We start from the raw sequence: 26,762 nt of genomic DNA on the forward strand, positions 1-26,762 counted from the left end.
TGGACTCTCTAAAGACCCTATTTCCAATTACAGGCACATTGAAGATTAGGGCTTCAACATATGAATTTGGTGGTGGAGTTGGGCACAATTCAGTCCACAACAGTGACTTCACTTTATGGTTTAATCCAGCCTCCACATTTTACAAATGAAGGAACTGAGGTTGGGAAATAGAATGTGCCCAGCAAATCAGTGACAGAGGCAGGTCTGTGGCCCTGGCCCTAATCATGCCGTCCTTCTGCCTTTCTTTTTCATGTTTTCTTTGTTTTCTTCAGCTTCCATTCACTTAGTACATAAGCAAAATATGACATGCAATGCATTTATTTCCATCCTCATACCCTCAAGAATTTGTTAAACATAGAGAAGTCAGTTAAACATTACCTGAAATATACTAGCAAATATAAAACTACTGGGAATATTAGTGGTGTTAACAATATTTTTCTTATCTTCTGATTTCCAAAGTATACTGTGCATGTACGTGTATATGTGCGGTGTGTGTATATGCGTGGCATGTGTGTGTTTGCATGCACATGTGTGTGGTGTTATGCACATGCATGTGTGTGTGGTATGCGTATGTGCATGTAATCATGAGGGTTGTGTGTGCTGTGCATACATGTGTGGGGAATATGTGTGGGTGTACGTGTCTGTGTGCATGTGTGTGGCATATGTGCATGTGTGTGGTATGTAAGTATGTGAATGTGTGTATTTCCACAGTATGTGTGTGTTTATATGTGCACGTGTGTGTGTGTGTGTGTGTGTGTGTGTGTGGTGTATTTGCGTTTATGTTACAAAATATGAGATTTGGACATGACCACATGTTTTGTCAGCCTTTTTTTACATGTAGAAAATATGAACAAGTAGAACGCAGGACAAAAGAAAGACAGACATAGGAATAGAGTATGTCCATGCAATGAAAAAGTAGTAATCTAAACAGTAGATCTTTTAGAACTTTTTTTCTAGTTAAGACTACTTAATTTTTGTCTCAGCAAAGTCATGAACATTGAATTTGGGGTGGCGTGAATACTTTTGTGACTGGCTGGCTACACACTGCCTGTCTACACACTCATTCACAGACAGGTCGTGCTCCTTTTACAGCCAAACTTTTCTACCACCATACCTACTCCTGCCACATGGAGGGTTACCTGGGGAACTTGATGTCCTTTTAACTCAGATAGGGGATTAACATTCCTCTCTTGATGTATGAGATGAAAATATAGAATAGCCAGGTCAATACTGTGAATAATGAAGCATAACTTTTTTTTTTTTTTTTTTTTTTTTAGGACAGAATCTTGCTCTGTCACCCAGGCTGGAGTGCAGTGGCGTGACCTCGGCTCACTGCAACCTCTGCCTCTGGGGTTCAAGCGATTCTTCTGCCTCAGCCTCCCGAGTAGCTGGGACCACAGGGGCCCGCCACCACGCCCGGCTAATTTTTGTATTTTTAGTAGAGACGTGGTTTCACCATATTGGCCAGGCTGGTCTCGAACTCCTGACATTGTAATCTGCCTGCCTTGGCCACCCAAAGTGCTGGGATTATAGGCGTGAGCCACCGAGCCCGGCCAGTTTTTGATATTTAAGTTGTCATTCATTGATGTTGAACATCCTTGTAGAGGATATGCAGTATTTCATTGGAGAATAACAGACATGAATTGTCTTCAAACCTTTTTGTATCTTCTTACTTATAAGTAAATTTTTTGAAAACTGCATCACTAAACTACATAAAAATACTTTTTTTCCTTCCCTTTGTTATTGAATAAGTGGAATAAGGTGTCAACATACTTGAAATGTTGAAATGTTTAGTAGACCTAGTTGATATGGAATTAGATCTTAATATTTGTGTTTACTGTTAAGCCAGAGATTAGCAAACCAACAATGACTAATCCTCAGCATTAATAAAGGAAAGAAAAGGTAGAGAAGAGATGCTTCAAATAATTAGCTTCTTTTTTTTTCTGCATCCAGGTATTGAACTTTGTTCTCTGAGTTTCTTTCTCCACAGGAGGGGCAGCCTGCTAAAAGCAGGGGCAGCAAGACGACATCTCCAGCTGAGAGACACATGTACCACTTAGAGATGAGAAAGATGCACCAGGGTGAGGATTTCCACTGTGAGCATGTTCTTCCATGTCTAAATATATCCCACATCTGCACAGGCCCTGGAGACTCTCTCCACATGTCTTAGCTACCATCTTTATAACACTTCCTATTGAGCATATTATGAGAGATTCTTGATATGAAGTTGAAAAATCATGTTGATGATACTTTACAAAAAATAAATGAGGTTGGTTCGTCCCATAAAACTAATATAATTTTTCCCCTGGTACAAAAGCAGTAAGTCTGAAGGGGTAGTTTGGAGGATCATGAGATTCAAGTTACGAAATATTTACCAAATTTGGTTGGCTCCAGGGAAGCATCACAGTTTTTAAACTGACAATAATGCACCAAGAGGTGCGCAACAGAAAGCCTGATCTGGCGGTGGAGTTTAGGATGGGTTGCAAGTTGGGCTAACCCAGGAGAGGACAGTAAGCCCTGGTAGGGGCTATGAAAAGCCCAGGTGACCCAGGATTTGCACAGTCCTTCTTGATACATGTTTTGGGAAACAGTTTCAGTAGAGTAGTGTATAATAGGGAGAATATGAGATGAAAAAGTTCTGAAGAATGAGTGTGATGTTGGAGGTGTTATGTGCTATAAGATGCTCTTGGAGATAGACTGGAAAAGTTTGGAATTTAAGATAGGTGGAGAGGAGAGAACCAGACTTAGCAATACCACAATGAGTTGGGAAAGGATGAGAAGGTGGAAGATGGTGTAGAATGAGGAAAATGGTGGGAAGGTTAATTTTATGTGACAACTTGACTGGGCTAAGGGATACCTAGGTAGCTGGTTAAACATTATTTCTGCGTATGTGTCTCTGAGACTGTTTCTGGAAGAGATTAGCATTTGAATCAGTAAATTTAGTAAAGAATATCTACCCTTGGGCCGGGCGCGGTGGCTCACGCCTGTAATCTCAGCCCTTTGGGAGGCCGAGGCAGGCGGATCACGAGGTCAGGAGATCGAGACCATCCTGGCTAACACGGTGAAACCCCGTCTCTACTAAAAATACAAAAAATTAGCCGGGCGTGGTCACCGGCGCCTGTAGTCCCAGCTACTCAGGAGGCTGAGGCAGGAGAATGGCGTGAACCCGGGAGGTGGAGCTTGCAGTGAGCCAAGATCACGCCACTGCACTCCAGTCTGGGGAACAGAGCAAGACCCCGTCTCAAAAAAAAAAATAATAAAAAAAAAAAGGAAAAGAAAAAAAGAAAAGAATATCTATCCTTACCAGCAAGGGTAGGCATCATCTAATTCATTGAGGCCCAGATAGAAAACAAAAAGGTGGAGGAAGTCCAAATTCTCTCTCTCTTCTTGAGCTGGGACATCCATTTTCTACCCTCGGACGTTGGAGCTCCTTGTTCTTGGGCCCTCAGACTCTGGGACCTACACCAGCAGGCCCTCCCCTTCACTCTTCTGAGGCTTTTGGCCTCAGAATGGGAGTTAAATCACTGGCTCCCCAGGCTCTCAGGCTTTTGGACTTGGACCAGACTATACCATGGGCTTTCCTGGTTCTCCAGCTTGCAGAGAGCATATTTTAGGACTTAAACTTTCAGAGTTGTCCTAAGGATTAAATAAGATAATTTACGGAAAAAAGCGCTTGGTAAACTTTAGCTTGAAAAGTGATTATTATTTGACTTAAAGATGCTTTCTGGAGCATTCACAAGCAGAAAAACAGCCTGTGACCAGCCGTCAACACAGCTCTTCACCACAGCATTTCTTTTCCCAAAGAGAGTGAAAATCATTAGCCCATCACTGAATGTCAGATCATCAAGGAACCTAACAACTTTGTTTATCTCTGAGGCGGCATTCAGGAATGAGTTTTCAACACTTGTTGTCTGTGGGTTGGAAGCTTTACAAATTCACATCCCAAACAAGAACCTGGGCATACTTGACAAGCATCTGTGAGACCAGCAGGAGGGGACTGGGCATTTCTGATCTGAGAAGAAACGCATTGGGGTGCATCATACTGTGGCAAACCTAATCCAATATTAATTAGGATTTAATGATTTTACAAGAACATCCAACAATTTTAGCTGCCTATAATCATGGCATGCTTATTCTATAGCAACGTTTTTCTCCGGAATTTGCTTTTCTGCATCTTCCTTCTCCAAATCCTTTCCTCTTCTCTACATCTTACATACCCTGCACTCCAAACTCACCCTCAGCATCAGATCTAGGATTCTTTAAAATACTTAAAGTAGGTACTTGATTTTCTTAAGCAACTTATGCAAATTCAGAGTTGAGACGTGACTCCTGGCATTTCCAAATTCTTGGGCATTAACCACAAGGCTATCCCTTGTAGAAAACATGTTTCATTTATTCACAAACAGTGGGCTTGAACCATATGTAGTTCTGGCTTACTTCAGGTTGTTTTTAGATGTGCAATATATTGTTTGCTCTCCCTGTCCTCAGTTTTTTTATTTGAAAAATGAGGTCTAATCCCACTTTCATCTGGTTCATTCATTTTAGAAAAGTTTTGTTTATTAATTGAGAGATTGGTTGATATACTCAACAAGTGTTTATACATGCAACAAACACCTGTGCTAGGTAGATATGGAGAAGCATGATAATATTCACCTGGAACTCAAAAAGCTTGCAGCCCAGGTGGTAAAGGAGCTTTTAAAAAGGAAGGGCAGGCCAGGCGTGGTGGCTCACACCTGTAATCCCAGCACTTTGGGAGACCGAGGCAGGCGGATCCCTTGAGGTCAGGAGTTTGAGACCAGCCTGGCCAACATGGTGAAACCCCATGTCTACTAAAAATACAAAAATTAGCTGGGCATGGTGGCACACACCTGTAATCCCAGCTGCTCCAGAGGCTGAGGCAGGATAATCGCTTGAACCCAGGAGGCAGAGCCTGCAGTGAGCCGAGATTGTGCCACTGTACTCCAGCCTGGGTGACAGAGCAAGACTCTGTCTCAAAAAAAAAAAAAAAAAAAAAGAACGGCATGGGTGTGGCCATGGCCTGAATGTTTATATGTTGAAATCCTCACCCTAAGGAGATGATGTTAGGAGGTGGGACCTTTGAGAGGTGATTAGATCATGGCTGTGGAACCCACATATGGGACTAGTGGTCTTATAAAAGAAACACCAGAGAGCTCCCGTGCCCCTTCCGCCATGTGAAGACACAGTGAGAAGGTGCTGTGAGGAAGTGTCATCAGACACTGAAACTACCGTCACCTTGGTCTTGGTCTTTCCAGCCCCCACAACTGTAAGAAGTAAATTTCTGTTGTTTATAAATCACCTAGTCTATGGTATTTTCTTATTGTAGCCTGAATGGACAAACACAAGTAGTGACTCTTGGTCCAGCACAGGGAGAGTTATCCTTAGGCTGAGCCTTGAGGACAAATGAGAGTTCCTGTTTCAGAAGGGCCTAAGTGGGACACAGGGCAGGCAGAGTTCCCAGCTTGTGCAAAGTCCTGAAGGTAAGAATTTTCTTGGTATATTGAAGCTAGACATCAGAACAGGTTTAGGGGGGTCAGAAGTGGGAACCCCATTGAGAAGAACCTTCAGCTCTATAATGAGGAGCTTCTATCACATAGGCAATAGTAAGCTAGCGATGGATTTTAAGCAGGGTGATGACACAGATTTGGATTTTGAGATGTTCATTTTAGCAGGAATGGGGAGAATACATGTGAGTGTTCATTAACACACTGATTAAGTCATTCGAAGGTTCACAAAATTAGTGTGGTTGGTTTTAGCATGAGGATTTGAAGGTAAGCTGAGAGCTCCCTTTCCCAAAATATCTCCTTTAGAGCTACCTGAATTTCTTTATTGAAATTAAGACGAAAGCACATTTTTGTGAATGAAGGTGCTTTCTTTTAGCAAAGCAATACCTGGGATGGGTTCCAAGGTTATCATTCATATCTTAGCATATATGTGTCTCCCAAGTTTAGATGGAATTACAGCCTGGTAAGATTTTGAGTTTTAGCAGTTGATGTGATGGATGGGATCATATTGGAGCCTGAATCACTGCAAGAAGGGCATGTTGAATTTTTCTTTTTTTTTTTTTGAGACAGAGTCTCGCTCTGTTGCCCAGACTAGAGTTCAGTGGCGTGATCTCTGCTCACTGCAACCTCTGCCTCACAGGTTCAAGCGATTCTCCTGCCTCAGCCTCCCGAGTAGCTGTGATTATAGGCACATGCCACCACATCCAGCTAATTTTTGTTGTTTTAGTAGAGGCAGGGTTTCATCATGTTTGCCAGGCTGGTCTTGAACTCCTGACCTTAGGTGATCTGCCCACCTCGGCCTCCCAAAGTGCTGGGATTACAGGCATGAGTCACTGTGCCCGGCCCATGTTGAAATTTGAACAGCAGAGGACAGAATGAAAGTGTGCGTGCCTGAAGCACATGGCATATGCCCTAGAAGGTAGAAAAGGGTCAAGGGTCCAACCAGATCTAGCCCAATGGTTGTTGCTTGGTTGAAATGACCTTTTAGGATGGGTTTCATTACCAATCGGAATTTCATTACCATTCTCAGAAGGTGCCTCACGGCTGAGAGCTCAGGACAGGGAATAACAGACTGGCGAGATGAGTAGGCAGTGCTGTATTTTTAGAGTCTTGAACATTCACTTTCAGCAGCTACAAATCATGGCCTTCCTGGATCTGCCTCCAAATTCCAGCCATATCCTGAGTGAAGGTTGGCAAATGGTCATTCACCTCTTTGACAATAGAGGCATCTCTTTTAGGCCCTGTAAGGATTATATAATCCAGGTTTACCTATAAAGTTAAAAAAAAAATTAACAGCATAGAAAAAGTGCCGTGGATGCTTTCCAAAAGCTGGTCTTGTACCCATGATATAAGCAGGTGTCTCACAGCATGTAGCCTTTCCCAACAGACAGTCAACCCACACTTTGTACATTCAAACTCAAAAAATTAATATGGAATTATTTTAGTGAAGTTGACATATGATGTGCCTTAATCAAATAATCAAATGAGTTGTAGTGGGTGTTCTTAGCAATCAATAAATTCATTTAATTGATCAATGAATTTACACATATGTTTAATGAATATTTATTAAACATTTTCTTTGTGACACAAATGTGGAAATATATTAATACCCCTTCTGTTTTATTCTAAAAACCATCTTACATTAATTAGCTTCATTCTATTTTTTGATGATAAATTATCACTGCCTATTGTGTAAAAAAAATGAGATCTTTCAATCAAGGGCTGTACGTCTAGTGGGGCATGCACAGGACAACTCTAAAAAATAGGCGATCCCAGGGAGTGACCTGGCCAAGGCCCAGATGGAGTGACGGGGGAGTACTGGTGAGGGATTCCTCCTTCTAAGGGAGAGAATCAGGTCAGGGTGTGTAGAGTGGAATCTTGAAGAATGTGGGGATTCTGGTGAGTAGCAAAATGGAAGAAGATTCCTGGTGGGAGGTCAGCAGGAGCAAAACCCCCGAGATTGGAAAACAGGTATAGGATGAGGGGAACAGTGAGTTGTTCAATATTCTTGCCATAGCACGTAGAGAGAAGATTCATAGGAAATAAGATTGAAAACATCCAATGCAGAAAAGCCACGGAGCCCTGGAATACCAGGCTGAAGTGCTTGTATTTCACAGATTTTTCGGAATGAATATGATTTGGCTAAAGCTATGTATGCTGCATGAAACTTAATCTGGTAGGAGGCAGCTGAAGCCCTGAGACTAGAAGAGATGGTTGCCAGAGAGCTGAGTGAGAGAAAAGACTCTTGCAGGTGGCTTCATTTCTCTGGGTGAAGCAGGACATCCCCACCCCATCACTAGTGACAATGGGCAGGACACTTCTTTGTCGTGCAGGGCTGTTCTGTGTACTGCAGAATGTTTAGCAGCATCCTGGCCTTTGTCCGTGGAGGTGAGTAGCACCCCTCCCATTCGTGAAAACCCAGATAATCTCCAGACATTGCCAAATGTTTCCTTGGGCAAAATTTTCCCCACTGAGAACCGCTGGAGTAAAGGAGCCAGAAGTAGTCCGAGAGTCCATTAGTAAAAATAATGGAGCTAAGGTTCAAACCTGGCCCTTCTAAATGTAAAAGGCCTTTTGCACCAATCAGCACTGTCCCTTATGCTTCTACTTCATCCCCTGGTGTGCACTCACAAACACAAACACACACATACACTAACACACACAGACACATACAAACATATATATTCTAGTACACACATACACATCTACACACAAGTACACACACATACATACACAGATATAACCTAGGTAAAGTGAAGCCTACAGGGTGCTAGGAAGCTGGGTGGGAGCGAGTGTGGGCCTGGAGTGCAGGGTAGGGGAGGTGGAGGTGCAAAGCTGGATGAGGCTCTGTTCTGGGGACTCTCACTGTTCTCCTAACCAGTCCCAACTCCTGATAAAGGAGGACAGAGAACATGGTGGCTTTGTGTCAGTGACGATGGGACTGGCAAGGGGGGGACAGCAGTCCAGCCTGGCAGTGTCAGGATGACCAGGGATGATGGGATCTGCTTCCTTGCCATCTGCCCTTTGGCATGGCCTTTTGCTATGGACTCAGGGGTGCCAGAGAGGAATGGTGGAAACAATCAAGAGTTTTGGGAGTGTTCAGTCTCATCTCACTGCTAGATCTCTGGCTCCAGCAAGCAGCTTCAGCTCAAGTTCTCAGGGCCTCTGTTTCCTAATCTGTTAAATACAGTTGTTTTCATTACACGAGAGGATATTATAAAGAACCTGATGGCATCAATCACAGTGTAGAAATGTGACAAATAGTGGCTATTTTATTATTATTGCTATAAGCTTAAATGATATAATCACATTATATCTAAGATGATTTTGATACAAATGCTGTGAACTCATCGAGACGGTTGACTCAGAACCTTTATGAGTTAATGCATTTACACATCTATCAATTAGTCTTTATTAGATATTGCTTGTTTGCATTTCTTAACTTAACTTGATTCCTTTGGGTGTTAAATTTCTACTCCTAAGAAAACCTGTATTTCATATTACAAGTTAACAGTATATAATCTATTTCCAAATTTCTGGGTTATTAGATAAAGCCTCACATCTGACTGACCAAATTAAATATACCCCTGTGGTTTTCCCTGGAGTTATAATGTCTCATGTTAGCAGTCTTTTAAATATGTTTAAATCTGACTCTGTGCCTATAAAATTGACTTCAATTAAATCTTTTATGAGCTTTCATAACTCTAACTCACATCTTATAAATATTTGTAAGTATCTGATTATATGAAGTTTTGTGTAATATATGTGCACGCGTGCACACGCACACACACACACACACATTCTCATACAAGTGTGCACATTCATCATTGTCCTTGCTCCATCTACTTATCCTGCAGTGTTATCCACTAATCAAATAGATTTGTTTGGCATCAATTGTCCAACTCAGTCCACTATTTCTGTTCTCCTTTCTGTTGTTCAAGTAGGAAAAAAAGTCGTTTTCTTGCATTACTTTTCAAGAGCCACATTTAGACTTTTTGGATGTCAATTGCCGTATGCGATTTGCTCAGGTTGACGCAAAAAAAAAAAAGTGATGAACTTTTAAAGACATTTCCCACAGGACATTTGTTTTCTTTGACACTGTTTTGCTGCTAGATGCTGGGTGTTTTTGTTTCTCAATGTTATGATCGTTGCTGGTTTTATTAATTAGTTGATGGTTAGGAATTTATTTTGAACAAATATTGCCAAGCTTACAGCATACCATTCTTTCAGGTTATTTTTGTAGATTATCATCTTATCTCATTGTTACTAAGCAATTAAGAAGTCCACTAAAAATAAGCCTTTAGCAAAGATTTAAGAGTCATCAATATGTAATGGGATTATTGCTTTCCAAAAGTATCAATGGATTGCTTTTTATACATTTGCTCCCTCATTTCTGCTGAAGCACATTTGTTATGACTTTGGAATTATCCTTAAAAACACTCTCCTTTACCATCTGTATATTTGCAAGTACTTCGGTGGAAGGCAGAAAGAAGTTACTATCATTATTATTTATTATTATTTTATTGAAGGAAGTTTGAAGTCAGACATGTTTGCATTTCATCCTGGCTTCGTCACTTGTGAACTGGGTGGGCTTGGCAAGCTACTCAACATCTGTGAGCCTTCGATCTATTGCCTGTAAGATAGAGTGAATAATACCTCCTCCATCCAGTGCCTGGTCTGCTGAATGTGCCTGCAGGAAAACACACAAAGGTGCTGGCCAGTCAGACTTCATGAGTGATCTCAACTGTCCAATTGTTTCATCCCAACAGGCACACTTCAGTATTACAAGAATTTGCTCCTCCTCTTTCTGAAATTGTTCCTCAACATTTTCCTTTGCTGGCCAATTCCTACTCTTCACTGGAGACCTTGCATCATGCTTCAACGGGAAAAGAAAATTCCCCATTGGAAAGCTCTGTCTTACCTCTGCTCAATTTCCCACCATGCCTGCCTGTGTACATGGGCCGTGTCTCCTGTTGGCATGGGTGACCTATGCCATGGGTAGCAACCCCACCTGGTATCTGGCTTGGGCTTTTCTTCCACACTTGAGGACTTTGCTCCTGCAGTTTCTTCTCTCTTCCGCATCTTTCATTTCTTCTCTGTGGATCATTTCTATTAATGTAAAAATAAGCTCCGGGGTGATCTAGTTGTGAATGAACCCTTCAGAGATCTAATATATACCTCAATCTATTGCTTTATGTCTCTGTTTTTCTTTTCAACACATCTTCCCAAAGGAATTGTAATGCCCACCGCTCTCTTTCTCATTTACATCCTCTCTTCTCTGTGTCACTCTGCTGATCACCTGACTACTCTACTCTGACTGCTGGGCCAGGAATGCCCTTAATTTATTTTGGCAAATCAGTGCCATTTTTGGCCCTTATCTTGCATGACTTCTCGGCAGCATTGGACACAGTTAACTATTCCTGTGCAACACTCTATTTTCTTGCCTTTTGTGGCCCTATGCTCTCTGAGTTTTCTTTATATCATGCCAGACTTTCTCCATTCTTTGCTTATTGAAGGTAGGACTACCTTCTCCTCAATCCCTGCCTCTGACTTCCCTTTCTAGGCCAGACCTCTGAATACCAGAATACCTGAGGGCATTGGGAATGATGTGGGATTATCTTTGATTCCTCTCTTTTTCTTTTCACCACATCCAATCCATCACTGAATGCTGTAAGTGCTCTATGGAATATCTGGCATCTGTTTACTTCTTCAATCCATGTCAAATCACCATTGTCTCCCAGCGGATGACTCCAAAATAGATCTTTAATTCTATTTTGCTTCCTTGAAGCTGATTCTCCACATAGCAGCCAAAATGGTCTTTTAAAAACACAAGACATAGTATGTTATTCCATTACACAAAACCCTTGTACAGCTTTCTGTTGCCCTTGGAGTATCATCTGTTCTCCTTAACATGACCTAGATATGTCTGAGTTCTCCCTTTATCTTGTACCCCACAATCTTCACCCACCAAATTCCCAAACTCACCAAACTCATTAAGTTTTGACCTTTGCATCATTGCTTACCCACAGATTTGGGGCTCAAGATAGTAGCTATGTTATTATTAATTACTTTCTCTTTTAAAAAGTTCTCTTTCAGATTCCTTTTGGAAACATAGTTTTGGGTTGTATTTTTGGGTAATGATGGGAAATTGGCACTCAGTTTGTCTCAAGCCAAGAGTCATTTTGTTGCAAGCTTTTTGGTATTGTGACATCTAAGCCTAGAAGGCATGAGCTATGTAGTGGAGTAGAAAAAAAGGAGTCAAACCTGCACGTTGTGCACATGTACCCTAGAACTTAAAGTATAATAAATATATATATATATATATATATATGAAAAAAAGGAGTCTAAGAATAATACAATGAGAAGAGGATGCTGAAAGCAGAATCTGAAGGTAATTCAACAAGGTCCTTCTGCTAAGGCAGAGATTTTACAGATAAATTCTCAATAGGTAGGAAACTATTCTATTCTAGGTATTGCAGAGACTGATACAAAAGGCTTTCTAGCTTTTTTAAGGTATAAAAGGAAAACAGTATGAAGTTTTATATAAGTTTATTCCAAATTTAATTCTAAATTAAGTGTTTTTAATACTTTTTATGATCTTGCAAGTAAAATACATATTTATAATCATTTTCTTAACATTTTAAACACAATTAGATCTTATAATTTCTGCAACTTATATTTCTCACTTAAAACATATCATGGATAGCTTTCCAGGTTGCTTTTTAAAGATACAACTCATTATTTTCATGGCTGCAGGACATTTAGTAAGATGGATGTACCATAATTCATTCACAATTTTTCTATTCATGTGGGTATTTAAATTATTTCCAGTTTTTTTGCTATTACAAACAGTGTTTTGCAATAAATATATTAAGGTACATGCCTCCTTTGGGCATTGAAATTTTTATTTCTATAGAATCAGTTCCTAAAAGGAAGATTGTTGAGTTGTTGGTTTTAAAGTTATTCACCTATAACATGCTTGCCATTTTGATCTATGAAAACTGTATCTTGTTTTAATTTACATGTTTGCAATTACAAGTGCGGTTTAGCATTTGTTCATTCAACAAATATTTACCGAACACCTACTATGTGCTAGAGCAGGCCTGTATTGGCTTGTGATGGCTGACTGGGAATAGCTCTTTCCAGCTCCATGTTCACTGAGGTTAATTTGGTTGTTAGAAACCTGCCAAGGTGAGAGACCTTAAACCTAGAAGATGATAATATTTTATAATAAAAGAAAAAATAGAGCAAGGTAAGGAGGATTGTGAGTGTGTGTATATGTGTGTATTTTTGTATATGTGCCTGTGTGTGTGGTGTGTATCTGTGGTATGGTGTATGTGTGTGTGTGGTATGTGTGTATGGTGTGTGTATGTTGTGTGTGCATATCTGTGTGGTGTGTGTGGTGCATGTGTGGTGGTGGGGGTATTCAATTTTACATGAAGTGGTCAGAGGTGGGCCTCTTGAGAAGACATTTGAGCAGGTTTGAAGGAAGTGAGGGAATATAGAAATCTTGAAGAGAAGCATTCAAGGTGAAGGAGGCATCACTGCAAAGCCCCGATTAGGAGCATACCTGTGTTTCTCAGAAGCAGCACAGCAGGCACTATGGCTGGAAAGGAAGGAGCAAGAGGGAGATTAGCAGGGGGAAAGTTCAAGAGATAATGGGGCCTGCAGGTATGGTGAGGTCTTTGCTTTCCCCTCTGAGTGAAATGAAAGCCATTGCTGGTGTTATGGACTGAAGGTATCCCTCTAAAATCCATAGATTGAAATTTTAACTCTCATTGTAGTGGTATTGGGAGGTAAGACTTTTGGGAGGTGATTAGGTCATGGGAGCTGAACCTTCATGAATGGGATTTGTGCCCTCTGAAAGGAACCCCAGAGAGCTCTCTAGCCTTTGTGAAGTTCAGCAATCTGCTACCTGGGAGAGAGCCCTCACTAGACTCCAACCATGCTGGGACTTTGATCTTGGACTTGTTAGCTTCCAAAACTGTGAAGAATACATTTCTGTTGTTTATGAGCCACCCCGACCTGGGCTATAGCCAGTGAACTAGTTCCCAAATGAACTAAAACAGCCAAGTTTTGAGCAGAGGAGTGACCTGACCTCATTTATGAAGAGCATGCATTCTTAAGTTTATGAGTGTTTTGAGTTTCTGCTTTTGAGCATTGCCTGCGTATATCCTTTACAGATATATCAGTTGGATCAGTTTAATTTTGCTTATCAGTTTGCAAGAACTCTTTACATGTTACATATAGTTACTGTTTGCTCATCATATGTTCCAGCAAATACTTCTCTTAGGCTGTAGTTTGTCTTTTGATTTTGTTCAGTTTCTTATGCTTTACTTTTATACAGTTAAGTAACAAATGTGTAAGTCATTTCCTTTCTGTTACCTGAGTTGATGATCTATTGAAAAAGATCTCTTGATTCCATTTTAACGTGGATGAAGCTGGAAGCCATTGTCCTTAGCAAACTAACACAGGAATAGAAAACCAAATACCACATGTTCTCACTTATAAATAGGAGCAAAATGATGAGAACACATGGACACATAGAGGGGAACAACACACAATGGGGCCTATAAGAGGGCAGAGGGTGGGAGGAGGGAGAGAATTGAGAAAAATAACTAATGGTAATAGGCTTAATACCTGGATGACAAAAGAATCTGTATAGCAAACCCTCATGACACAAGTTTACCTGTAAAACAAACTGGCACATGTACCCCTGAACTTAAAATAAAAGTTAAAACAAACAAAAACAAACAAAGCCTCTTTACACTGAGCTTATAAAACTCTTCTCCTTTTAATATGGTTAGCGTTAATATTTTTGTTTTTGTTTCTTACAATAAGGTTTTAAAACTATCTGTAATTTATTTTTGTGACATAACAATATTCACTTAAATTTCTTTTAGTTAGGGGTTGGTAAACTATGGCCCATTTGCCAATTCTAGTCTGCTGCTCATTTTTCTAAAAAATGTTTTATTGGAACACAATTATGCCCAGTTGTTTACATATCATCCTTGGCTCTTTTCCTCTCATAATATTTACTGTCTGTATGTTTATAGGAAAAGGTTTGCTTTAGCTTATGCATAGACAATTATTTTAATGTCACTATTAAAAATAATAATTTCTTAATAGTTTAAATATCACATTTACATAGATTAATTTCCAATCATGCATATTGTTTTGTACCACTACTATTTGTTTTGTTCTCTCATCTGTTTATTCCTGTGTCAATACTGCTCTTATAATACCTTTGTGTACATTTAAAACCTTGAAAAGCAAATTACTTTTCATTATTTACTTTCAAATTTTTTCTAGGAATTTCCCATGCATTTATTTTTTACATAAAGTTTAGAAAAAAAATTTCCACTTTAAAAAACTGAGATCCTGATTACTGTTATAGTAAGATGACATATCGGTTTAAATAAAATTGGAAATATTGTGATATTAAAAGTCTTCCAATCCAGAAACATGCTATGTCTTTCTATTTATTCATGTTTTAGTTTATGTCCTTTTATAACTTTTTATAGCTCTTTTCATGTAGGCCTACTAATTTTAAGTTAAATTTAATCTATGATATTTTGTAGTTTTTACTACTTTTTAAAATGAGATTTTCCTTTTGCATACCTATTTCTAACATGAAATTGTTAGCATTAAAATCTAGCTAGTCAACTTGGATTCAGCCACTTTACCAAATTGCTTTATTATTTTAAGCACGTTTTTAGTAGTCTTTTATATTTTTTAGGCAAGCCATCAAATGGAGATATTTTTGGTTTTTGACTATGGGAATAGTTACTGTTCCTGTTTTTTAATCATGATGACTTTCATATTTCATCTTTGTTACTACGTTTTTACTTGGATATTGTTAATTATACTTTTCCATGTTTAGACTGTTTCTTCTATTCCCATGTCACTATGAATTTTAATTAGGAATGTCTTCTAAATTTTATTCAATACGATTTTAGCACATGTTGATATAATCACGTATTTTTTGCTTTTTTCTCTTTAATTTGTTTATATAATAAATTATATTGAGAAATTTACTTAATGCTGAACCAGTAGCCATGGAGTATACTTTACTTAGTTAAAAATGTGACATTCTAAAATATGATGCTGTATTATTTTGAATATAATTTATTAGGAATTTTTATATCTATCTTGAAAAAGAAACTGGCTATAGCTTTCTGTGATAGCTTTATCAAGTTTTGATATCTTGGTCTATGTCTTGAGAGAATTTAAATAAAGGATAATTGCTCTGAACAAAATTGTGTATTTACAAAATTTGTGTGCTGAGGCCCTAAACTTCAATGTGATTGTATTTGGAGATAGGACCTACAAGAAGGTGATTAGGTTTAAATTAGGTTATAAAGGTGGGTCCCTGATCCCATAGGATTAGTGTTTAGTGAGTTTCCTAGTAAGAGACATCTGACCTCCCTTCCTTCTCCACCCCTAGCTCAGTCACCATGGAATGACCTCCCGAGCAAACAGTGAAAAGGTGGCCATCTGCAAGCCGTGGGAAGGGCCCTTGCTGGAAACAGAATCTGCCAGAGCCTTAATCTTGAACTTTGTTTTAGTAGCACCCCACCCTTGGTACCGATTTACTGTACTAGAACATTTTCACACAGCTGATAAAGGCATACCTGAGACTGAGCAATTTACAAAAGAAGGATGTTTAATTGGACTTACAGTTCCATGTAGCTGGGGAAGCCTCACAATCATGGTAGAAGGCAAGGAGGAGCAAGTCACGTCTTACGTTGTGGCAGCAGACAAAAAGAGAGAGCTTTACAGAAAAAACTCCTGTTTTTAAAACTGTCAGATCTCATGAGACTTATTCACTGTCACGAGAACAGCACAGGAAAAATTTGCCCCCATGATTCAATTACTTCCCACCATGTCCCTCCCACAACATGTGGGAATTCAAGATGAGATTTGGGTCGGGCCACAGCCAAACCATATTACGGGTCTTCTTTTTCTTCTTCTTCTTATTCCTCTTCCTCTTCCCCTTCTCCTTTCTTTCCTCCTCCTCCCCACCCACTTCTCCTTCTGCTTCTTTCTCTTTTGTGAAATACTATCCTGCCATAATTGACTGGTTTATCATGCTCTTACTGGTTAATTAGCCTGCCCAGTTACCACCTATAAGCTGTGTGACCTTGAGTCTAATATTGAGCCCTTCTCAGCTTCAGTGTCTTTATCTCTGTTTTCTGTTGTTACAAGGAATGGTGGTAATATTTGCCAAGTGACTAGCAAGGTTTATAAAGGGGTCATTGATATTGTCATTATTATTATTAATTACTTACTCACTGCTTTGGCAGTTTATGTCAGCAAGGCTGTCTGTAATTGAGTCAACCATAATAGTAAGGAGATCCATGCTTTTTGACTTTGGAGATGCTGCTCAGTGTTCCAGACTGAGTATGCTGATGTGGGAGGGGACTGTCTGAGTTCATCCTGGCCATGGGCTCCAGTTCTTTAATCGAAAATAAAAAAAAAAGAGGGGGAAGAGAGAGAGAGAGAGGGAGGGAGAGAGAGAGACAAAAAACCGCCAGGAAAACTGTCTACAGAGGTCATTTAGAAATACAATGCCACGAACAATATCACAAAACTGGTATTATTTAAATTCTGACTTGGCCAGTGTTAGACTCGCAGTGTTATTTTAGCAATTTGAACAGGCCCAGGAGTGCAAATATTTGTAATTAAAGGCTTCCAGGAGCAGCCCTGTCAAGTCCTTGTGTGTATCACATTTGGCACATGTTTCAAAGCCGAGAGCGATATTAAATAGACCATCTGTTGGTTTTCATTAGGTTTCCTCTCATCAACAGCACTATTAAATATAACTGAACCCGGTTTTTAAAAATCCCTGACATCTGTGCTTTCAATTGGAATGTTGATCAATATTAATAACAATGCTACTTCCCCTGAATTTATTATTAATGAAAAGTTAAATACAGCATAAATATGAATGTTTGCCCTACAACACTTTTAATACTACTTATCCAAACAAAGCCGGAGAAAGCACCTCTCTTATGAGCAGAAATGTAGAAAATGCCTGGATACAGGTGTTCCACTGAATTCCATGTGTGGCCAGCATACCTGCAGCTTCTGGACATGCCAATTTCTCTCCAGCAAACCCTTATTTGCAAACTTCACCTGGCAAACTCTTACTATCCTTCAACAACCAGCTGAGGCATGACCTCCCCTCAGAAGCCTTCCTCATTATAAACAGCATTGACTTGTTCTTTCCTTTCTCCTCCTCCAGTTTTTCTATATGTCTCTTTTATCAAATTTCACTTTCTTTCCAGGAAGAGTGAAATCATGCCTTATAGCTTAACATTAAACCTTTTGCATGGTAGGCACTCAGTTGACATTTTAAAAAAAATAAGTAAAAGAATGGATGAAGTAGAATTCTACTAGAAAGAGGAAAGAAAACTTGGTTGGATCCAATATTTGGTGAAGACTTGTATTTTTTCCCAGCACACAAACAAGGAACATGACAAAGCTAGAAGGATTTATAGATGATCCCAGATATTAGCTCTCAACTTAAGAATGTAACTTCTTTCTTGTTTCTTTTCTTCCCTTCTTGCCCTACCACCTAGCCCCACATGTGGACTTGGCTACTGTCATATTTTCCCCCTTTGGGGGGCTCAAAAACACTTTGGGTCAGTGGAGAGAAAATGGGGCTACATGCCTCTGTAGTTTATTAGTCTGTTTGGTTCCAGAAACTTCTCACAGCATAGCACCTCTCCAAGCTGAGGGTGTGTACTAACATCTTTCTCTTATTCACACACATGCTTCTCACCTGAAGAATGGGGAAAAATGATAAATAGTATTGTGGTTACTAAATGTAATGACATATACAAAGTGCTTAGAAAAGTGTCTGGCACTTCATAGATGCACAATACAATGAGAGTTGCTATTACTTCATTATTATTAAATTACTGTTTTATTCTTCATGCATTAACACCTACCATGTACACAGAATTTGATGAAGAAGCACTATACAGGTGCAATCCAAAGCCTAGGGAATTTATAATTAATATGGGGATTTAGGACTTAGGTTCTTGAACATCCCTCTCTTTAATGATGCTCTGTAGTGTATGATGCAGGGTAAGTACATCAGGAGACATATGGTAAGTGTTGGCAGTTTCACTGGAGGGGAGGACAGCTTATAGCAGTGGCTATGGACGGCCCCATGGATTTAATATATACCCTGGCTTGTTTCAACATTTTTTGTAGAAAAAGTTGAAAAGGAAGGAAAGGAACATATGCAGATTTCTAAATAAAATTCAGATTGTTTCTCATGGGAGAGCCAAGTGTTTTGTGGGGAGACGGAGGTGGAAATAAGGATGCCAGTGAAAGGTGGGGTCAGCTGGGGAGGGCTAAGATGTGCCTTTGACTTTGTCCTGAATGCCTGACCAGTAGAAGTCACTTGTAGCTGAAGACTGAGGGAGGAGGCTTTGTATTACCAGCCACGCACAGGAGGTTCTCCTTTGAGCAAGTAACACACTGTTCATAATAAAGTGAGCAAGTAACACAGCTCAATATGTTGAATTTAGTAACCGGTGTTAACTGAAAAGTTAGAAACAAAATAGCTTTTAAACATCTTAACATCTTATATTTTAGTTGTTAATACTAGCGTCCTTTTTGTTTTGGGCTCAAATGTTGATTTTCCATTTATATACTTGCTGACTTAAGTAGTGTCCCTCCAATATTCGATGCGTATTTCAGCAGGATTTAAAAATGGTTCCTTGGCTTGTTAAGAAGGCAGCCAAGACTCCCTCCCTTAGGGCAATATAAAATTCTCTGTCCATACTCGGCATTGATCACAGATAATGTTTTTGTGAACTTTGTACAATGGGTCATGCAATCACAAATACCCTATCGCTTTATAGAAGAAAATACATTACTTGCTAGCTACTGATTCTTTTAATAAGCTACTAATTTAAAAGACATTTTTTTGTTCTACATACAGAACATAAAAGTCATTTTAGCATCTCTGATTACAATTTTTGGAGCTATGTTGGTTTGGTTGTGTTCTTTTACATCAGTCTGATGAACTTTGAAAACATGTTTTCCACTTAAAACAATAAAATTATATCCTACCTTGACTTTGCATTAATTATTCAGATAATTAGGATAAAAATATTTTTGAACTCTACTGAATGACTTTCTCTGGGTGATTGCCAAACCTTTCGTTCCTTTGTTTGTATATGGAAATGGGGATTTCCCAAGATCCTAAGCCGAGTACCTTTGCAAGTCTGGGCTTGTGGACCATGATGGTGGGCTGGGTCTGCTTGAGTCTGTTTACACAGGGTTTTAAGTGCTGCAAAGACAAACGACTGACTCGATGCTTACAGATTGGCACAAAGTCCACTCCTTGGAGTGGAAATCTTCCAGCTTCTAAGGAGTAATGGGGTACTCTTCAATCAATGGATCTTAATCAGGTACACACATTAGCCTCTACCTGTATATGGAAGTATTTTGAAAAACGCAGATTTCAGGATTCTAGATCCACATTGTGACTCTAGGTCTGGGGTTGGAGGACCTGACACCTACTATAAGCGGGTTACAGGCAAGTCTTATATAAACTTTGGGCTGTTAATGACACTAACTACACTTCTGAGGTAAGGGCTAAATGTGGAAGGTGCTTTCCCTAAGCGGGGAGAGAGTTGGGGCTCATGAATGGGTGAAAGCTGGAGTGGAGCAGCAGTCCCTACCTGTGACCATTCACAGTGTCTCCCATCCCTACTTCCTTAAAAACATGTCAGAGTACTAGAAATGTCTCTCAAAGGCAAGTGGAGATCAGGCTTTCTGAAGTTCCCCAGATGTGGCAAGAGAGACACAGGCAATCCAGAATCCCACCCTGGATGAGAGCTTTTGCCTGGCCCTGGGAGCCAGTGCAATGGGTTTGGGAGGGCTGGAATTGCAAGAATCTGTCCCACAGGTGAGCATGGGTCTTGATGCGTAACCGCTGTCCAGCGACTCTTTCGGGTAGCACCTCGGGAAACATCTGCGGCTAAGGTATGTCAGTCAATTGAAAGACATCAAACCAAGCAAATCAAAATGCAAGCTTTCATGTTCCCTCTTTTAATAAAAAAAATTAGAAATTGTGACAACTTTAGTCAGTATATTATGAGATAATGACTCATATACAGTAAATGGCAACATGTACCAAACATTTAGTGTTCATACCCTATCCAATAATCCCAACCCTAGGTTTGTATCCTAGGGAATAATTCGAAATTTGAAATATAATTGTTTATATGATAAGATACTCACCAAGGTATTATTCACAATAATGGAAAATGCCCTAAATAGTTTGGTAAATTAAGGAGAGTTATTTAAGAAAATACTAAATAACCACTAGAAATATTTATGAAAGTTACAATTTGATAAATTGCTGTTAATATAGCACTGAGTGGAAGGAAGAAAACAGCGTATAAAAGATGCTCTAGGCCAGGCGCAGTGGCTCATGCCTGTAATCCCAGTACTGTGGGAGGCCGAGGTGGGTGGATCACAAGGTTAGGTGTTTGAGACCAGCCTGGCCAACATAGTGAAATGCTATCTCTACTAAAAATACAAAAAATTAGCTGGGCATGGTGGTGGGTGCCTGAAATCCCAGCTACTTGGGATACTGAGGCAGGAGAATCGCTCGAACCTGGGAGGCAGAGGTGGAGGTTGCCATGAGCCAAAAGGGTGCCACTGCACTATAGCCTGGGTGACAGTGCGAGACTCGGTCTAAAAAAAAAAAAGAGCTCTAAACTGTAATACGTGTACACAATAAATGATTGCAAGGAGATATGAACAAAATATGAACAGTGGAATGGACTTCCTCAAATTTGGCATGGCAGCTCCCCACCCTAGGTTTCACTTTACTGTGTCCTCAGGATGCCATTCCTCACCACTCAGAGTCGAGTAAGCTCCCAGCCCCACTCTCACTTTCTTCTTTGGAACTCTGTTCTTTTCTTTTATAAAAAGAAAAAAGTACCTGATTATCTGCTCATGTAATAGATGTTGCTTCACTCCCTTAGAGTGAAAAGTAGTATTTCTGTTTTTCCCACTACAGTTTACCTGGCTGCAGTATGGGGAGTCCCAGAGCAGTAGATAATGAACTTGTATTTCCCGTATCACATTAGCTGATGGCATCTGTACCTTTGCTCTCTATTCCTTATATATTATATGTATATAAATATGCATGTAGAAGTATAATTTTCCACTCCATTCCACAGTGTCTGATATTCCACATTTGAGATTTGATTCCTTCGTTTCGCTTTTTATCCTCATTAAAAAATGTAAATCCTGAGAAACATTTTCTTAAGATGTTCCTTTGTGGGTCACTGGTATTAGGCTGTTAAAGAAATGTTCACTCTAATATCTCAGGGAAGGGACCATGGTGGGACCCAGGTTTTCGCCAAAAGCCTCAGACATGAGTAGGTCCTGCCAAGAGCAGTCAAGCAGCCCCAAGACAGCAGATGGAATGGGTCAGAGCAGACATTTCCTATCTCATCTTGGGTTGTGGGCTAACTCTATCTGAGAGAGACAGAAAGAGAGAGAGACCAAGGAGAGAAACTGTGACCTTGATAACAGAAGGTCAATATTTCATCATAAAAATTGTTCTAAAATAAGTACATTTCTAGTTCTTATTTCCACTGACTAAAAGTGCCCAGTCTTACTAACATGATCACTTATTTTTCTCAAGCCTATTTAAAATTTCCCTTTCACCACTTGGGTTCTGACTCCAGAAAACATGCCAGTACAGCTTTATGCTACTCAATCCCATGGGAGATTTCGGATTTCCTCCTAGAAGCGAATCACAATGGGTTCACTTTGAGTTCACTTTGGTTTGGTTCCTACCTTTTCTTATAGAAACATGAGGGCAAACAAATAAATATACATGGATGAATCCTAGTTCCCTCCTAACATAATAGTTCCTCCTTCCCTTCCTCTGTCTTTCCCTTCCTTCTTTCCTCCTTCTTTTTCTTGCTGCCTTCTGCTCTTTCCCTTTTAAACTCTTAAGTCATAGTAAAGATTTAGATGGAAACAGATGAGCAAAACAGATTGGATACATTAACCTTGAAGCTGTCTTTGCCTCTGAAATTAGCATAAACTCTGGTTGTGAATGACTGTTGATTCCTACGCCAAAGGAAGCTGTGATTTCTTGAAAATTAGAGGGATATTATGAACATCTGAAACCTGCAGGGGGTCCTGTTAATTACATTTCTTGGACAAATATTTCATGAAGTACAATTGACACATGCAGGAACATTGATCTGGTGTTCACTGGTGTGCCAATGTTGATGCTTAGAATCTGTTATACTTCTTTAACGAAAGTGCTCATGTGCTAGTTAGGCTGGACCATAGGCATGATTCCTGTATTCCTTGCTAGAAGGCAAGGCAGCCCTCCCTCCAGAGAGGAAAGAGAAGTCTACTTTTATCTACTACTTCTTCACCATCACAACCTTGTTGCATTCTCCAAGACGCACTACACCTTCTATACCCAAGATTTCTTAGTTGTAATACATCTATCTCATAATATGTTATATCTCATCTAGTTTCTGCAATAATTTCCTAATAGGCTTCCCTCTCTTCAATTCTCTCATTTTCCATGGACAGTGCTGATTCATACCTGTTATCTTGGCATAATTATTAAAATTGTCCCCATTTATGCTCAGTTGTGTCTTGGTTTGCATGATACTTGTATGGGCTCCTGATTTGAATCACACCCAACTCTCTAGCCTTATCCCCTTCCTTGTTTCCTCCTGATTTGAACCACACTCAACTCTCTAGCCTTATCATCTTCCTTGTTTCCTCAGGCTCACTGCACTTTCTTTTGTTCCCTTGAGCAATCCATGCTGGGCCCTTGAACATATGTTTCTGCAGCCTGGCACGCTGCCTTCTTCAACCTTCCTATCTGAGCACCTTCAGGAATTGCTTTTTGGCTTTCTTGACCTTCCCAATCTAAGTCAGGACTCAATGCTCAATGTTAAAAGGGTTTCTAGCATTCGTTACAGCTATAATTCTACAATTTTTAGCATGATTATTTCACTGATGCTGATGCCCTCATTAGAGTCTATGAACCCCATAATGTAGATGAGGAAAAAGTATTATAGAGAGATTAAAAACTTGGTTTATGGTGGCTGAAGAAGTATTTGAGCCCACTTCTTCCTTACTCCATCTCTGTGGGATGCTTTGGGTGGATTTCTCTACTCCTTTCTTTCTTACAGGATCATATTTGGCTGGGTGATAGCTGAGGATATAAGACTAGTGAAAATCAAATCCTTTTGAAGGTGGTATCTAAAGCAACTGTAAGCTGAAGAAAGACTATCTTGGATTAATTGATAATTTAAAATATATTTTTCCTCTTTCTATTGCCCTGATGGCTCTTTCTATTGACCTGATGGGTAATCCTGCTTCTGAAAAAAATTCAGCTGTAAAAATATAGATCATATTTATTGCATCACTGATCTTTATTTGAAGGTATCTGTAAGGTTATTCAAACCACTTTTTTTTTCGATAGAAGAGAAAAAAAGGCACCAAGAGAGGTTAAGGAAGTTATCCAAAGTAACACATGGGTTACCCAGAGGTCCTGTGGAAATGAGTTCAGGTCAGCTGTCCTGCATTCTGATGTACTCATAATGGAACTGTGTGTGATGTTCCCTAGACCACATGGAGAAGGTCAAAGGTGCAATGCAAGAGAATTATCCCAGAGTTCCAGACTTGGTTTTCACAGATAATTGTTGCTACTTGAAGTCTTCCTACACCTCCCCTGCTACTCAGTCTGCTAACCACAGTGTCCACAACACATCAAAAGGCCTGAAGGGATCAGCTGCGACAGCTTATAGAAAGCAATTTGAGACATGATCAATCGTTTTCAAGCCAAATCATATGCCATAATCATATCCCAAGTCTGTTATATATAAGTGTTATGTGTGTTTTGTTTCCTACCCCAAATTAATATGTTGAAGCCCTAATTCCCAGTGTGATGGTATTGGGAGGTGGAGCCTTTGGGGGTGATTTAGACCATAGCAAACATAAAAATCAGACTGCCTCCAGTGACATGAGCAGCAAAGTCCTTTGCCTCTAACCAGGAGTCTCAGGTCTTCTTCTGCCAGCATCCATGAAATTGTGTCAGGCTGACTTATCAACTAGGTGAAAGTCTCAGACCCTTTGCAGTTTTTGACAGCATTCGTTAAGGGCCATTTGAATTTATCTATGTATATTTAAAAACCTTTTTTATTGCAGTTTCACATGTAGAAATCTATCCTGCAGAACAAGTTATGCAAACATATCCAAATACAAATGCGAATCTGTATAGTTCAGGGCTGTGCCTGATAACAAGAGATTAAAAAAACCCTGAACATCCATCAGTAGAAATGTACTTAATTTACTGATATGTATCCACATTTTGGACTACAATTCAGCAACCAGAAAGAAAAGCTCTGTATGTGCTGACATAGGACTGTTTTCATAATTCATTGTTCATGGGAAAAAAGCAAGTTATTCAATGATATGTGAATTATGAACTCAGTTTTTCATCGATTTATTCACTCATCAAATATTTATTGAGCATCTACTGTATGTCAGGATTGGTGGTGATATATTACAGGCAATACTAACAATATCTCTACATGTTGTTGGGAAATAAGAGAGCAAACAATAAAAACAGTACATAAGGTAATTATAGTGATGTTAAGGAAATATTTAAGGTAATGTGATAGAAACTTGGGGAGGCCACTTTAGATGGGGCGGAAGAGAGAACTATAGTTTCAGAGAGGAGTTCTGAGGAAATGGCATTTATATTGCTATCTCAAGTTTGAGAATAAGCCAGCCAAGTAGCAATATGGGGGAAAAGCATTCAAGTGAGGGACCTGGAATAGATAAGGTTGCTTTTTTTATTCATGAGGACCAGAAAGGAACTCCTGATGGCCACATAATACTGATCAGGAGGGACAATGGCAACCGTGAGAGACATGGTAAAATATCTGGATCCAGCAGGAGACCACTTTGCAGCAGTGCTAGGGCTGGTTTTCTTATTTAGGTGAACATTCTCACTGCTGTGTGGAAAATGGATTTTAAGACATTCTCTCTTTCTGTCTCTCTCTCTATTTCTGTATACATATGTATATGTGTGTGTGTATACATCTATGTATATATACATACATATAAATGTGAATGTTTTATATATGGGTATATAAATATATGCATTTCATGTAAAAGTTTTGAAATATTAACCAACTAACAGTTCACAGTTTTGAGGGGACAGTTAGGAGGGCTTCAGTACTTATTGTTAAAAACAATAGAAAGAAAAACACTCTGCATGTTAGTAAGCAAGGATGAAAGAGGATAGAATTTCTGGACCAAAATTATATAGAAAATTGAGACAGAATTTTCATCTCACAGATGTAAACAAATTATCTGAAAAAAGGGGCCTAGTTATTAATTTGTTTCTTAATTTTATCACCAGAGGTGATGATATTAGCATTGTTTAGAAACTGTGTGTATATGCATGTAGACATGAACAAATATCCATTGCTTTCTGGTATACAAATACCAATGACCATTTTGAAAAAGGGATTAAATGAAAAAAAAGGGGCCGCAAAGAACGTAGTCAAGAAATCTTGCCTTTGAGGAGTTAATAAACTGCAAGATGAAATAAAAATAGAGGCATAAAATGACCTGGTCAAGGAAACACTTATGAGACCTTCTGATAAACTGGGAAAGATGGTATTAAGGAAATGACCCTTTGCTATTGAAAGACTTTAAAGGTTGCAAAACAGAAATTCAATGCTTTTTTTACTGTCAAATAAACAAAGAAATCTTTATATATATGTGTATATATGTAATGGATATATGTGTATGTATCTTTTTCATAAATACACAGTTCTAACAATTCATTTTTATGACAATTTTTTATTAAACCCTCTTTCACTTTGATAATATAATTATAGCAGAAGATGAAATTTGTTATTGCTGCTGAACCCTCATTTAAGCTTCTACAAGCTTCCTATTTAGAGCTCACTTTGTACTTGGCCTAAATATTGCTTGGGTATTGATAGCCATCTTAGGGAAAGACACACTAATGTGTTTACTGAAATTTTATTACCCCAATCACAGGCATAGACACAGCCACTCCCATTCTCTTTGCCAGTCTGAATTGGTGATTCATCAGGGAGGAAGTATCATTATCTTCTTTCTAAGCATGTATTCACAAACACAAAAATGAAATCAACACAAAACTCAACTAAGTAAAAT

At 39.3% G+C, this 26,762-nt stretch overlaps 1 long non-coding RNA gene across 2 annotated transcripts in view; it reads left to right on the top strand.

Moving 5' to 3' along the window:
• The window catches only part of LOC105373592 (uncharacterized), a 530,486-nt gene that overhangs the window by 492,871 nt on the left and 10,853 nt on the right, over positions 1-26,762 (top strand). Inside the window, exon 5 of one of the 2 annotated variants that reach the window (XR_001739684.2) lies at positions 1,954-2,081. This is a non-coding gene — a long non-coding RNA (uncharacterized LOC105373592). Of the gene's footprint in view, positions 1-1,953; positions 2,365-26,762 lie in introns of those variants that run through there. The other variant, XR_007087222.1, reaches the window with a different exon arrangement.

The sequence above is a fragment of the Homo sapiens genome, chromosome 2 (genome assembly GCF_000001405.40).
Source record: "Homo sapiens chromosome 2, GRCh38.p14 Primary Assembly".
NCBI classification, from domain to species: domain Eukaryota; kingdom Metazoa; phylum Chordata; class Mammalia; order Primates; family Hominidae; genus Homo; species Homo sapiens.